Consider the following 13,436-nt stretch of genomic DNA (forward strand, 5'->3'; position numbering starts at 1 on the left):
CTCGGCCCCTCCTGGAGGTGCCATGCTCAGCCCCAGGACCCTGCCATCCCACTCTGAGAAGGTTTCTCAGCCCCAGAGACCTGCTCTGCCAGGGCAGGACCCCCAGCAAGTCCACCGTCCCCAGTCCCTGGAGCACCCCACATGTGCCCCTTACAGAGCCCTGGCTGTCTCTCCTGCCCTTCCCTGGCTCCCAGAAGCCCAGAAGGCCAGAATCTCGCGAGTGGGAGGAACCACGTGGGGAGTCTTGGCTTTTAGAAGCCCTGGAGCAAGGACTTCCTGCTACGCCTCCACAGGGGGCATTGAGCCTGTGCCCTGAACTGGGCCTGGGTGTGCACAGGTCTGCAGCTGCACATGCACACACGCATGCATGCACACAGGGAGCGAGCGGAACGCACCGTGGCATGACCTGCCAACTCCGTTTTAAGTCAACTGACAAGGAAGTGAGTGGCCAAGGCAGACCCATGGCTCCAGAACCCCAAGGGAGGTAGCTCAGGAGCTTCCTGCTAAGCTCTTGGGTCCCCTGGACTTGGCAGCAGCCTGCAGCGGCATGAGCCTCTGTGCGAGTGTGCACAGGTGCATCGGTGAGGGGCGGACATGCCCGTGTACACCCTCGCCCCTTGGCAGCCCCGCGTACGTACATGGTGTGGGTGGCTGTGCAGAGCCCTGTGTGTTCCACCCATCTCCAGGGACTGGGCAGCCACAGGCAGCTCCAGATTTCTAAAAGTGATAAAAATAGCCACATGGAAAATTGGGAGAATCCCACCGAGGGAGGAAAACAGGCAACCACTAGCATCTCTTCTAGAAAATGTCTTTCTATTTCCCTGGCCGTGGACTGCCTGCAGCCACGTAGAGAGATGGCCACCATCCATCATGTGGCCCTGCGTCCCCTCTTCTAGCTGAGTACGAAGTGAAACAGAGCTCTGGCTGTGCGGTCCTGGAGACCTGGGTTTGAATCCCAACTTAGCCATTACTGGCGGCAAGAGCTTCGACAAGTTTCTGAAATGCTCTGAGCCTTGGTTTCCCCCGTGTAAGTAGGGATAATAAGATCGATCAGGCAGGCAGTCGAGAAGCTTTAAGGAGCTCATGAGTACCAAGCACATGGCTGGAATTCAGTTAACAATAGCCACCATCAACATCATCATCACCATTTTCTGGACATCTGCCTAAATCTCAGGTGTCCAAGGCCTTTGGACTCTATCTCCTCTACCAGCCAACCTTCTGAAAGCCCAGGAGAGTCTGCAATCCATCATTTTATCTCTGAAGGATTATATGGAAGTCTACCCAGACACCTTCAACAAACACAAGCCACTCATCCAAAATGGGTTCAGTGCTGAGGGGACCAGTGGGCGGTGGATGTGACCAGCCTCTGCCCCTCCCCTCCCAGCATGCTGGGTTTTCCCCTGGGGTCTCATTTAATCCTCACAGTAACTCTGTCAATTACCATCCACCGGCCCACAGCATGGAGAGGCCCAGAGAGGTGGAGAGACTTTTTCAAGGTCACACAGTGAGTGAGTGGCGGGACCCCTCCCCACGCCTGACTCCAGCCCAGCCTCTGCCTCCTGGCCTCTGAGCCTGATGTGCACTGGCACAAGGCGGGCACCCGTCCTGGGGGAGTGGAACGGAAGACTGTGGTCAGGCAGGCAGGAAACGGCCAGGAGGTCATGCGGGGGCAGGGGGAGCCTCTCCTGGGCCTAGTGAAATCCGCCAGGCTACAGGCTTTAAATGTGTAATCCTGAGTCACCGGGCTGGTCCCTGTCCCCTTGGAGGGACCTGAAAGTCAGCTATAGAAAGCTGATGGTTCTGTGCAGAAAGCCAGACCTGGGCCTGACTAGCTGGAAAGGACCATGCAATGACAACCGGGAGTTCAGGGCCCTGGGTTTGGATGCCAGCTCTATCAGGCATGTCACCTCCTCCTTCTGGGCCTTAGTTTTCCTAGGTGGAAAAAGGGTATATGTGCGTGCGCATGTGTGTGTGTGTGTGTGTGAGAGAGAGAGAGAGAGAGAGAGAGTTTAGGGAGGTGCTTCGGATGTGATAGCCTCTAATGTCTAAGCCAGTCTGACACAGAGAATTCACAGCTTTGCTGTGAGATGGGTGGATACAAGCAGCAATTCGGGGATGTAGCTGTATGTCCACCTGCTGCCCTCCTTGCCGCATGGCCACATGTGCCCCTCACACTTGCTCCACCTTCCAGTCCTCTACAGCCAGTGTTGGAGGAAGAGCCAAAGAAGTGAGAGCTCCGTGGGGTCTCTGTTCTCCCCACCCTCACCCCTTCCACCAAGACAGGCTCTCCAGGCCAAGGAGGTGAGGGGGCACGTGTCCCAGCTTATACGATCACCACCTTGTCTCAAGGAGACAAAGTCTGGGCCCAAGCCTTGGCGGCCAACTGCCCAGATGGAATGACAGGTCACAGAGTTGCTGAATTTAGAATTTTAAAAAATATTAGTGCCACAATAGCTTAAGTTCTTGGAGTCTCTAGAATTTGGGATAATGAATGTGTTGGAATTACAGACATGGAGAATCTTCATTTTAGAGAAGAATAATAACTGCAGTTGGAACACAGAAACACACGGAAGGTTTCAGAAGCACGTACTTGAGGTATACAGAATGATTATAGAATCTCACACTCTTAAAGTCACAAAACCAGAACACTCAAGTGTCAGAATCCTCCATTGTGGGAAGCTTCACTTCTCAGAATAATAAAGCTGCAGTCACATGACCTAGGGAATCTGAGGTTGAACATCTGGAACCTCTGGATATCTAGAACCTCTGGAATGTTCATTTGGGAGTCTCCCGGAACCTTGTAATCTTGCATTCCCAGGACCTCAGGAGGATAATTGTGGTTATGATCACCTGCAGCCACCACAGCTGCCAGAGCACCCCACCATCTCAGACCTGGCAATGGTGCTTTTGCCCAGCTGCACGTCAGAATTACCTGGGGAGCTAGGAATATGCCCTTGGCCAGGCCCACCCTGGATCTACTGAATTCAAATTTCTAGCACCAAAAACCAAACCAAAACCAAAAAAAACCCAGGTGGTTCTAATGTGAAGCCCGAGATGGAATCACTGATCTTGTCTAACCTCTCCTCCATATTACACATAGGGAAACAGAGACTGCAAGTAACTGGCCTAAGGATACACAGCACTGGTCCCCAGGCTCTTCATCAATGTCAGGCCTCCCAAGCCTCTACTTGCTTCCTCTACCTGGACCCCTTGGGTCCAGGTTTCCTGTCCCTGACTCACCGCATCTGTCTCAGAGGACTTCTGCCCCTGGGGTATTCCTAATGATCTTGGGTACCATGAAGGCTAAGACACAGTGAGACACACTGAGTTGCTAGGCTCACAAAGCCAGCCCCTCCCGTCCTCCCATTGACATGCTCAAAACCTCCAGGCTGCTTCAAGGGAGGTTGCTAAGGTCATCAAGGTCACTCCCCAGCCTCCAGGAAGGCCTGCAATGAAGAGGGGCCCCAGGCACAGGGAATCAGAACCCAGGGCTCCTTGCTATGTGACCTTAGGTGAGTCCCTTGGCCCCTTGAAGTCAAAATGGTCTCAGGGCAGGACGGTGGGCAGAGGGCCTCTGGGAATCCGTTCCAGCTCTGCCTCTTGACCTCACACACACTGGCCACACATTTAAGGGGATGGAGTCTTCAGTGTCCTTGGCTGGCTTGCTCCTGATCAGTTGGGACGTTGCTTCTTATTTCTAACCTGGAATATTCCAACTGCGGTTTCAACCTTTTGCCTTCCTGGGTGAAGGTGGAGAATATCTGGTACAAATGCCCTTTGTTCAGAAGAAACCCCTAGCCCTACTGAGCCCAGGCTGAGGGTACCCCCTCACTCCTCCCTGCACCCTCTCCCAGGTCTGAAAGGCCTTGTTGATTCTGGTGGCAGCTGCACTCCCAACAAATGGTCTCATCAGAGGTTGTTGGAGTGACAGAGGCTGTTAGAGCCTCTGCCCAACTTCAGCTTAATTCTGATGCACTCATATCTCCTAGGCAGTTGAGCAGGGCAGGGGTCTGGCTGGGCCACAGCATTTTCTCCAACGAGATGGGAATTTCCTGCCAAGAACCCCTTGTAGGCTATGGAAAGAAGGCCCAAGAGGCAGCCTCCGGGAATGGGGAACTGAGAAGCAAGAAATTCCTAGACCAGTGTTTCCCATGGGTGATGGGGGAAGCTTGTGAAAATGCAGACTCTGACCCAGCAGGACTGGGGTGGAGCCTGAGGACCCGGGCTGCGCATTTTTGATAAGCTCCAGGTACTGCCACTGCTGCCGGTCCACTGACCACACTTTTAGGCAAAGCCTTTAGATGTTCATAAATAAAAGTATTTTTATTCCTACAAAGCTCTTAACTTTTGTTCAGCTTGGCTTTCGTCATTTCCAGCTTTGTTAGCTCATAAGACCTACACGGCAGCCTAGAGGGACAGGATGCATATTGCTGGGTCCACTGCACAGAAGGGGAAATTGAGGTGTGGCAAGGGCAATGGGCTTATTCAAGGTCGCCCACTTGGCTCTGCTCCTTCCTCTAAACTCCTCACCTATGGCTGGTTAGAACCAAACGCGTTGGTAATGAGTGGCCTCACTGAGTAATTCCTTGTCTTGCCTCCAACTCAGCTATGTGGTCCAAGGCTGCTGGGGGTGTCCAGGGGGCCCTTGATGAACTGTGCTGGCTCTCTGAGGCCTGAGCTGGTGGGATAAGGTGGGGAGGAGGGGATTAGAAATCACCCAGGGCTCAAATCCCAGCCATGCCCTTGGCTCCTGTGTGACTCTGGGCGAATCCCTTGACGTCTCTGAAGACATCAGTGATGTGCTGGTACATGGAGGATGCTCAGTCAACATTAGCTCCCTGCCTTTCTTTCCTCCTCCACATCCTGAGTCTTGTTCATTTCTTCCTTTTTTTGCACATATTTATGACAGCACAGCCTCTGAAGCAAGACTGCTGGGGAACATGTCCAAGCTGTGTGACCCTCGGCAAGTCACTTAGCCTCTCTGTGCCTCAGTTTCCTCCTCTGTGCAATGGGGATAAGAAGAGTGTCCAGCACAAGGGCCATGAGAAGATTAGAGGAGTCAATGGGTGAAAAGTGCTCAGAGCAGTGCCCGGAACACAGTGAGCGCTCCCTGTGCGTGTAGCTGCTGTGCTGTTAATATGTTTCCCTTATGACGGGGCCCTGCTCAGAGTGGGCACCACGGCAGACACTGTGGATGGCGCACTGAAGCCACAGCAACGCAATGGCTCACACTTGCTGAGCACTCACTATGTGCCAGGTGCTGCGCTAAGTGATTTTCTGCCAGCCTTCCCCCTCCCCGGGATCACAATCAAAAGAGAATACAAAATACTAAGCCGTTTGTGCAGGGTGTTTTGGGAACACAGAGGGAGGACTGATGCATGGGGAGGGCTCAGAGGGCCTGCGGGAGGGAGGGGCACAAGGCTCTGTTTGAGCTTCACAGTCCCCAGGAAGGAGCAGAGGAGCATGGGCCCCTGTTGGGTTTTACCCCTTGTCATCATGCCTACTGCTTTGGGGGCACCCCTCCACCTCACCATCACCCCAACCTGTCAGGGAGAGACCTGTGGCTCCCACACAGCCAGGGAACTTGGAGGAAGCCAGGCAGGGAGGAAGGCCTGGGTTCACAGTGCCTCCTGCAGCCTGATTTCTGCCAGGGCTGGAGATCAGCAGGTCTACAGCATGTCCTAGAGGATGGACCCCCATCCGTTGTTGTGGGCAGAGGGAGCAGTGGGAAAGGCACGGCCTAAGGTCAGACTGACTTGGCCTGATCCTAACCAGCTGTGGGACCAGGGGCAAGTTATGTAATCTGTTACAAAAGAAAAGAGGAAGAAAGGATGAGAGACAGAGATGAAGAAAGAGAAGAAGAGTGGGCACATGGGCCACAGATGACATCCAGGTGAGTGTAAGAACCCAGCCAGCAAATGAGACGAAGGTGCTCCGTGAGCCAGGCATGAGGAAGGCCTGATGTCCTCGGGCTCCTCACCCCCATTCCATGCACATTTCTTCCCTGCACCTGCTGCCCCGTTTCTCTGAGCCCTGAGCCTTGGAATGGGAGGGAGTGGGGGCGGTGTGTTGAGGAGCCATGTCTCCAAGTCAGGCCAGGTCAGTGGTGCCAAGTCCTCTAACCCACAGGCTGGGATCTGGCCACCTTGCCCCAGCTGGGCCACCTCCCACTCCACACAAAGCCACTGGGAGCAGGAGGCACCCAACACAGGCTCCACCCTGGGCAGCCACCCCAGACATGGTGGAAAGGGAAAATGCTGCCCTCACAAATATGCCTCCAAGACCCCATGGCAGTTGAGGCAGGGGTCAGCTCACAGCAGCCACCAAGGCCTAAACACCCTCGCTCGCACACCTCTGATCATCTCAGCAAATGTGGCTGCTCGCTGGGCAGTGGAGCAAATGGTATAACTTCACAGTTCTCAAAGCGCGTTCACCTGTCTGATCGCCTCTGGATCTCACAGAAGCCCTGAGAGACAGGCTTCATTGCTGATGCCACTTCATGCATGGGGGTGTGGGGGCCCAAGGGTAAGGTCAACTTGGCCAATGTTGAACAGCTAGAGAGACAGCCCTGGGATGAGAGCTCGGGCCTTCTGACCCCAAGGCCATGCTCCCTCTGCCTGCCAGGCAGACACAGACCTCGCCTGGGAAGTGACCTCAGGAAGTAGGAGACAGACTTGTGCCAGGACCGGCCCTGGGCTAGGCACGACTCACCAAGGCAGGAGCACATGGGGCATAGAAGGGCATAGGGGCTGCACCATGCAAGAGGACGTGTTTGGGCTGAACCTGGGGGAGATGAGAGAGTCACTGGCTAAGGCCATAGCACAGGTGGAGTGGGGATGAGAAGGCTGAGCAGAGGTCAAACGGCCCAGGCTGGGCTACCTTCCAGGACTGGGGCAGGGCAGAGTGAAGCCCACCCAAAGAGGGGCATTCTCTGTCCCCTAGGGGCCAGATGGGGATGGGGGAAAGATGAGAAACCTGGTTGAGATTTCTTACCTCTTGAGGGCCTTAAAACCAGGTTCTGGGGAAGGGGTGCTGTCCTGACAAGTTAGGGTTCAGAGAGGAGAGCTCTGAGGCCCTGGATGGTTGGGGAAGACTCCCTGAGAGAGGTGGGCTCAAGCTGGGCTCTGAAAGGGGGATAGGAGAGAAGAGATTCGGGAAAGGCATTGCAGACTCGGGGACAGTGTGAGCAAGGCCTTGAGGCTGAGAAGCCCAAGGGGTGTGTGCATGCACGCACGTTTGCATGTGTGCACATATGTGTCTGCGTGCATGCATGAAATTAAGCAGCTGCAGGGGTGGGTCAGGGAGAAGGAGAGGGGCTCCGGTGGGTGTTGCTTCCCAGGTATCCGGGCTGCTTCTCATCTCCCTCACACCAACCCTCCCATCAGGTACATGAGCCTCACTTTACAAATGAGGGCAGATCTGGCTCAGGAAGCCCCACGGCCTAACAAGTGATACCAACAGTGAGGGCTGCCACTTACTTACTGAGTGCTTGTGGGATGCCAAGCCCTGCATTAGACGCTTTCCACACACACTCTGCAAGGATGGTGAACCCATTTTACAGATGCCTGGGAGAAGGTGGGCAACACGGCGAAGGACACACAGCTGGGAAAGAGCAAAAGTGAACTCTGAGTCCAGCTCAGTGAGACTCCGCTGCCTGGGGCTCTCCTGTTCTTACTGAGGTTGAGGGACCAAGGGATGTCCCAGCCAGAACCTTCCCCGGAGTCTTCACAGCAAAGGGCACTTGAGTTACTCCAAGACAAAGGAAAGCCATGTGAGAGGGGCAGGCCAAGGGCCTGGCACACTGGAGGCCCTTGGCAGGTGAGGAATAAATGAGTGAGTGAGTGAGCCTTTCTGGCATTCAGAGGAGGCCAGTCCCTCTGAGCTTGGAGGAAAGGAGAAATCAGAGAGGGCTTCCCAAAGGAGGTGACACTTGGAGCTATTCAGCTTAAGGATGCACTTGCTGTGCTCCAGCATTCCATTCACTAGGCCTTGCAGGTAGTTCAAGACCAGGACTGGTCCTGGCTCCTAGGCTCTGCCAACATCTCTGTCCCTAAGGCTCAGAAGCAGAGGGCTGGGAAGGTGAGGCCATTGACCCATCGAGATTCCTGGGGACTCCTAATTATCATCTGCAATTCTTCTAAAAGCAGAACTGGCAGCTGAGGATGTGAAACTGGCCCTCCTAGGCTCTTTCCTGCCAGGCAAGAGGCAGCAGGAAGGATATAAAAGTGGCTCCCCATGAGCCCTCACACTCCATGCCCCACCCCTCCAATCCCCCACCCCTGCTCCACCCCCAGCAGCTGCTCCTAGGCAAGCACTTGGAGAGAGATTCCTCTTCCCTGGGCCATAGGGGAACTGACAGCCCACAGGCGGCACTGGGCACCTTCCAGCTGTGCATCGCCCCTCCTCCCACAGCACCCATCCTGGGCACAGCAGAGTCCCCCCAGCACAACCTGGGGGACTCAAAGTCATCTGGGCCTTCCCCTGTCCCCTCCCCAAGACCCCTGAGAAAGCACAGCCTTGTCACCTGGCCTCTCTGCAGCCCCTCCCAGAGGCAGCCCCTCCCTTAGGGAATGAGGGTGGGAAGGGAGGGCTCCAGCCACCTCTGTGGATCCCCACAGTGCTGAAGCAGTCTCTTAGAACCCTGGGACTTCTCAAGCCAGTTTGAAACAGCGGAATTGAGGCATAATAATAACGACAGTAGGCTGGGCATGGTGGCTCACGCCTGTAATCCCAGCACTTTGGGAGGCCGAGGCGGGCAGATCACTTGAGGCCAGGAGTTTGAGACCAGCCTGGCCAACATGGAGAAACCCTGTCTCTACTAAAAATACAAAAATTAGCCTAGTGTGGTGGTTCATGTCTATAGTTCCAGCTACTCAGGAGGCAGGAGAATCGCTTGAACTCGGGAAGCGGAGGCTGCAGTGAGCTGAGATCATGCCACTGCACTGCAGCCTGGGCAACAGAGCAAGTTTCTATCTCAAAATAATAATAATAATAATAATAATGACAGTAATTAACAGTCCTAAGAGTTACTACTTGCAGTGCAAGCAAGGTGCCAGGCACTGTTATAAACACTTCAGATAAAATAACTCGGTTAAGCTCACAACATCCCATGAAGTAGGATGTTTTAATATCTTCATTTTACAGAGGAGGAAACTGAGGCCTAGAAAGACTGAATGAATTTTTCCCAAAGGCACATAGCACTGCTGCTACAAGGCGGCGCCAGGGGTGGAACGCAGGCAGGCTGGCTTCAGGGCTGTGCTCGAAGGCACCTCACTGAAAGGAGAGGGCTTCGGCAGGGCAAGGAGGAGAGCCTCGAGGCCCGGACACTGGGTTTGGGGCACTACCCTAACGTCAGCATCTATGCCAAGCCACCACCTGCCAAACGGCAGGCACGACACCCCCAGCAACACCCATCCCAGCTGACATTCTCTGAGTGCTCACGACATTCCAGGTTCTGTGCCAAGTGCTGGAAGAACCTCAGCTGAGGCCCCTTGGCCAGCCAGCCCAGGCTCCAGGAGAACCCCCTGCAATGCTACCTTCAGCACCCATCCCCTGCTATGCCATCTGCCCTAGGCCCAGTCCTTCCTCAGTGGGAACACAGAATGATGCTGTCTGTCCTCCCTCTTCTCCCTCTCCCTTCCCCCTCCCTCCCTTCCTCCCTCCCTCCCTTCTTTCCTTTCTTCCTTTCTTCCTTCCTTCTGGATGTTTGCTAATGAGTAATGGGTGGCAGTATAACACTTTCTTTGCTAATTCCACTGTCTAACATTCAAAGGGCTTTTTGTCTGTGGTGTTACCTTTCTGCCCCTCCCTGTATGCATTTTTTATATTTATTTATTCATTTATTTTAGAAATGGAGTTTCGCTCTTGTTGCCCAGGCTGGAGTGCAGTGGTGCGATCTCGGCTCACTGCAACCTCCACATCCTGAGTTCAAGCAATTCTCCTGCCTCAGCCTCCCAAGTAACTGGGATTATAGGTGTGCGCCACCACACCTGGCTAATTTTTTTGTATTTTTAGCAGAGATGAGGTTTCATCATGTTGGCCGGGCTGGTCTCAAACTCCTGACCTCAGGCGATCTGCTCACCTCGTCCTCCCAAAGTGCTGGGATTACAGGCATGAGCCACCGCACCCAGCCTTCTATACATTTTTTTATGACAGGCAGTCCTTAGCCCCAGTGTTGTGAGAAAACCTCAGTTTCCCCACCAGTATGTTGATGGGTCTGAACTAATCAATGGTGTTAAACTTTATAAGCCTGAGAGCCTTCCCTTCGCATGCTCCCTAACATGTGAGGTGGATATGTGTGAGGCTACCCTGGTGGGAAGAAGAGGCTAGGTCCCCCAGCTGGCCCACCATACCCCTCATCCTCTATCCCTATGCCACTCAGCTCTGGGGTTCTGAGGAGAAGCTTCTAGTCAGCCCACAATTCTGCCTAGCCTCAGTCCTTTTTGGCCTGTCCCCTCCCTGGGCTCTAGCCACTCTGGTCCCAGAGGACACCCAGACCTGCAGTGAGGTCAGGGTTGGAATGAGGGGTTGGAAACTGTAGGCAAGGGTCAGACATGGGCTGGGGGCCTCGGCCCTGCCTGCTGCCTCCAACAGCCTACTCCCTTCAAGGACCAGCCTGCTCTGGCCTGGGGAGGGGTGCAGGGGCTGGGGTCCGAGGGCTGCAGAGACCTGGGTGAGGAAGAAGGAGGACTGGGCCAGCCCCCTCTTTCCCTTGTCTCCTGCCCTTTCCCCAGCAAGACCCTGAGACTATTTACATCCTGCCTCTAAGATCTCAGCTGTTCTAGGATTCCATTCTCTCTCGGCTCTATTTTTCTTCTTTTGCAATCTCCAAGAAACCCGAGCTGCCAGATGGGTGGGGGCGATGATTGTTTTCTGTCTAACATCTGGATTTCATTAGCAGCCCTGGGCATGCTGACTCAGGAATGGCAGTTCCCCTGGGCTCAGGCCCTCCCAGACCTCTCGCGGCGCCCTGTTCTTAGCTGGACACAAGAGGCACAGGTGACAACACCCCTCAGACCTCCCTCAAAGGAGTAATGAGTACCACTAACAATGTCTCAGAAGTGATGGAAACGGGTTCTAGAGAGCTTCTGCTCCCAGGTCAGTGCCTGAAGGGTGGCTGTCAGGCTGGGCATGGCTGGGCCTGACAGCCGTGAAGGGCAAAGAGACAGCTTAGGAAAAGTTGCCTTTGGGTTAAAAATTCAAGGCTGTATCCTTTGACCTCAACAAGATATCACCCACGTCAACATCAGGATCCTTACTGTGGGCATGTGGACCCTCCCCCTGCCTGAGCTTTAGTGGAGTGGTAGTACGTGAAGTTTTCATGTCCTATCATAGGAGAGACCCACAGTGGCCACCCAATCGAAAGCTGCCCCAGACACCCTTCAGGGCTTCATTATGACTTCTGTGGACCCTAGGCACTTTTGCCTTTGTGGGCCCTTTTTGCATAAAACCTTATTAAAAATTTTATTTTCTGGCTGGGCATGGAGGCTCATGCCTGTAATCCCAGCACTTTGGGAGTCCGAGGCAGGCAGATCTCTTGAGGTCAGGAGTTTGAGACCAGCCTAGCCAACATGGTGAAACTCTGTCTCTACTAAAAATTCAAAAATTAGCCAGGCGTAGTGGCGGGCGCCTGTAATCCCAGCTACTCGGGAGGCTGAGGGAGGAGAATAGCTTGAACCTGGGAGGTAGAGCTTGCAGTGAGCTGAAATGGCGCCACTGGACTCCAGCCTGGGTGACAGAGTGAGACTCCATCTCAAAAAAACAAAAACAAACAAAATATATATACTATATATATATATATATATATATATATATTTTCTGACTGCATTGGTGTAAACACAAATCTCCAGGCTGAGTTCATAATTATATATTCACTATTATACCCATTTTCTCATCTGGTTATAAAATAAATACAAATAGGCAAATAGAAACATATCTGTGGCCGGGTGCAGTTGCTCCCGCCTATAATTCCAGCATTTTGGGAGGCCAAGGCAGGCGGATCACTTGAGGTCAAGAGTTTGAAACCAGCCTGGCCAACATGGTAAAACTCCGTCTCTACTAAAAATACAAAAATCAGTCAGGCGTGGTGGCAGGCACCTGTAATCCCAGCTACTCTGGAGGCTGAGGCAGGAGAATCGCTTGAACCCAAAAAGTGGAGGTTGCAGTGAGCTGAGATCGCGCCACTGCACTCCAGCCTGGGCAACAGAGCGAGACTCCGTCTGAAAAAAAAAAAAAAAAAAGAAAAGAAACATATCTGTGGACCCTAAAAGTATCATGGGCCTAAGCATGCATGCTACTAACTACTAACTCCTGCTACTCCAGGAGAAGGCAGCCCAGTGCACACTATGAAAGCACTCTTCTGTGTTCTTCATCTGATCTGATAGTTCCCTAGTTCCCACTGATTTGTACTTACTGCCTGACTTCACCAACTGCAACACAAGCTCCTAGACAGAGGGAGCCTTTCCTGTTTTGCTCATTGTGGTGTCCTCTAATGCTTGCTATGTGTCTGACACACAGTAGATGTTCAATAAATAACTGCAGAGTGGAAGGCGAGCCTACCTGTTTATGCACGTGTATTTGTATCCCAGTTGGCAGCTGATTTGCCCAGGCAGCCACCGTAAAGATCTGGTAGCCCTCCTTGCTGCCTGCTCCCTCTTCCCTCTCACTGGGCACCACGGCCCATAGATGGTACTTTTCCATTCCAGAATCCATTCCCTCCCCTTCAGCTTCTGCTCACCGCTGTCTTGTGTCCAGTCATCAGTCCCTATCCATGTTCAGGGGCTGGCTTCCTTAGCGTTCTTGCCTCCTTCAGCCCAGCCTCCAACCTGCCACTAGCAGGATCTTTCAAAATGCCAATCTGAGCATGTCACCTAAAACCCTTCTCCCTGGCCTCCAGATAAAGTCCAAGTTTGCACAGCCTGTCACACAAGCCCTTCATCACCTGTTCCAGCCACACCCCCACTCCTCCCCCAGGAGCGCCTGCTGTGGCCCAGGGCTCACAGTGCCCGGAAAGCATATTCCTGTTATTTACACGCTTGCTTGGAAGCCTTCCCCACTCCAAATCCAAGCTCCTCCTCTCTGAGGCCTCCCACGAAGCTCCAGGCTGAGCTGGGCCTGCACAGTAAACCTCACCACAGCCCTGGTCCCCCAGAGTGGCCAATACTCTTTCTATCTGTACCACCGAGGACAGGGGAAGGGCCTTATCCAGCACAGGCCTGGTGCACAAGAAACTCTCAGGAATGGTTGGGTGATGGGAACATGTCTGGAGTCCTGCTCTGTCCTGGACAGACTGTGTGTCCTGGGCACAGATGTGGCACTGCGCCAGGCCCCCACCACAGACCCCTACAGGCAAGTGCAGCTGGCTCACAGCAACACATTGCTGCTCAGGCCTTCAGAGTCCTGACCCATCAGCGTGCAGAGGCCAAAACGAGATACCA

The 13,436-nt window shown here is 53.7% G+C and overlaps 1 protein-coding gene across 2 annotated transcripts in view, besides 3 other annotated features; it reads right to left on the bottom strand.

Moving 5' to 3' along the window:
- ZCCHC24 (zinc finger CCHC-type containing 24) overlaps window positions 1–13,436 on the bottom strand; it is a 63,300-nt gene that overhangs the window by 29,472 nt on the left and 20,392 nt on the right. The window lies entirely within an intron of this gene.
- Window positions 1,102–1,612: an enhancer, noted in NCBI's record as "H3K4me1 hESC enhancer chr10:81172654-81173164 (GRCh37/hg19 assembly coordinates)". NCBI's record gives its function as "activates a minimal SCP1, AML or CMV promoter by ChIP-STARR-seq in naive H9 embryonic stem cells {active_cell/tissue: H9 hESC(naive)}" and the evidence as "EXISTENCE:reporter gene assay evidence [ECO:0000049][PMID:30033119]".
- Window positions 1,613–2,121: an enhancer, noted in NCBI's record as "H3K4me1 hESC enhancer chr10:81173165-81173673 (GRCh37/hg19 assembly coordinates)". NCBI's record gives its function as "activates a minimal SCP1, AML or CMV promoter by ChIP-STARR-seq in naive H9 embryonic stem cells {active_cell/tissue: H9 hESC(naive)}" and the evidence as "EXISTENCE:reporter gene assay evidence [ECO:0000049][PMID:30033119]".
- Window positions 12,683–13,184: an enhancer, noted in NCBI's record as "H3K4me1 hESC enhancer chr10:81184235-81184736 (GRCh37/hg19 assembly coordinates)". NCBI's record gives its function as "activates a minimal SCP1, AML or CMV promoter by ChIP-STARR-seq in primed H9 embryonic stem cells {active_cell/tissue: H9 hESC(primed)}" and the evidence as "EXISTENCE:reporter gene assay evidence [ECO:0000049][PMID:30033119]".

This window comes from Homo sapiens, chromosome 10, assembly GCF_000001405.40.
Source record: "Homo sapiens chromosome 10, GRCh38.p14 Primary Assembly".
In the NCBI taxonomy this organism is placed as follows: domain Eukaryota; kingdom Metazoa; phylum Chordata; class Mammalia; order Primates; family Hominidae; genus Homo; species Homo sapiens.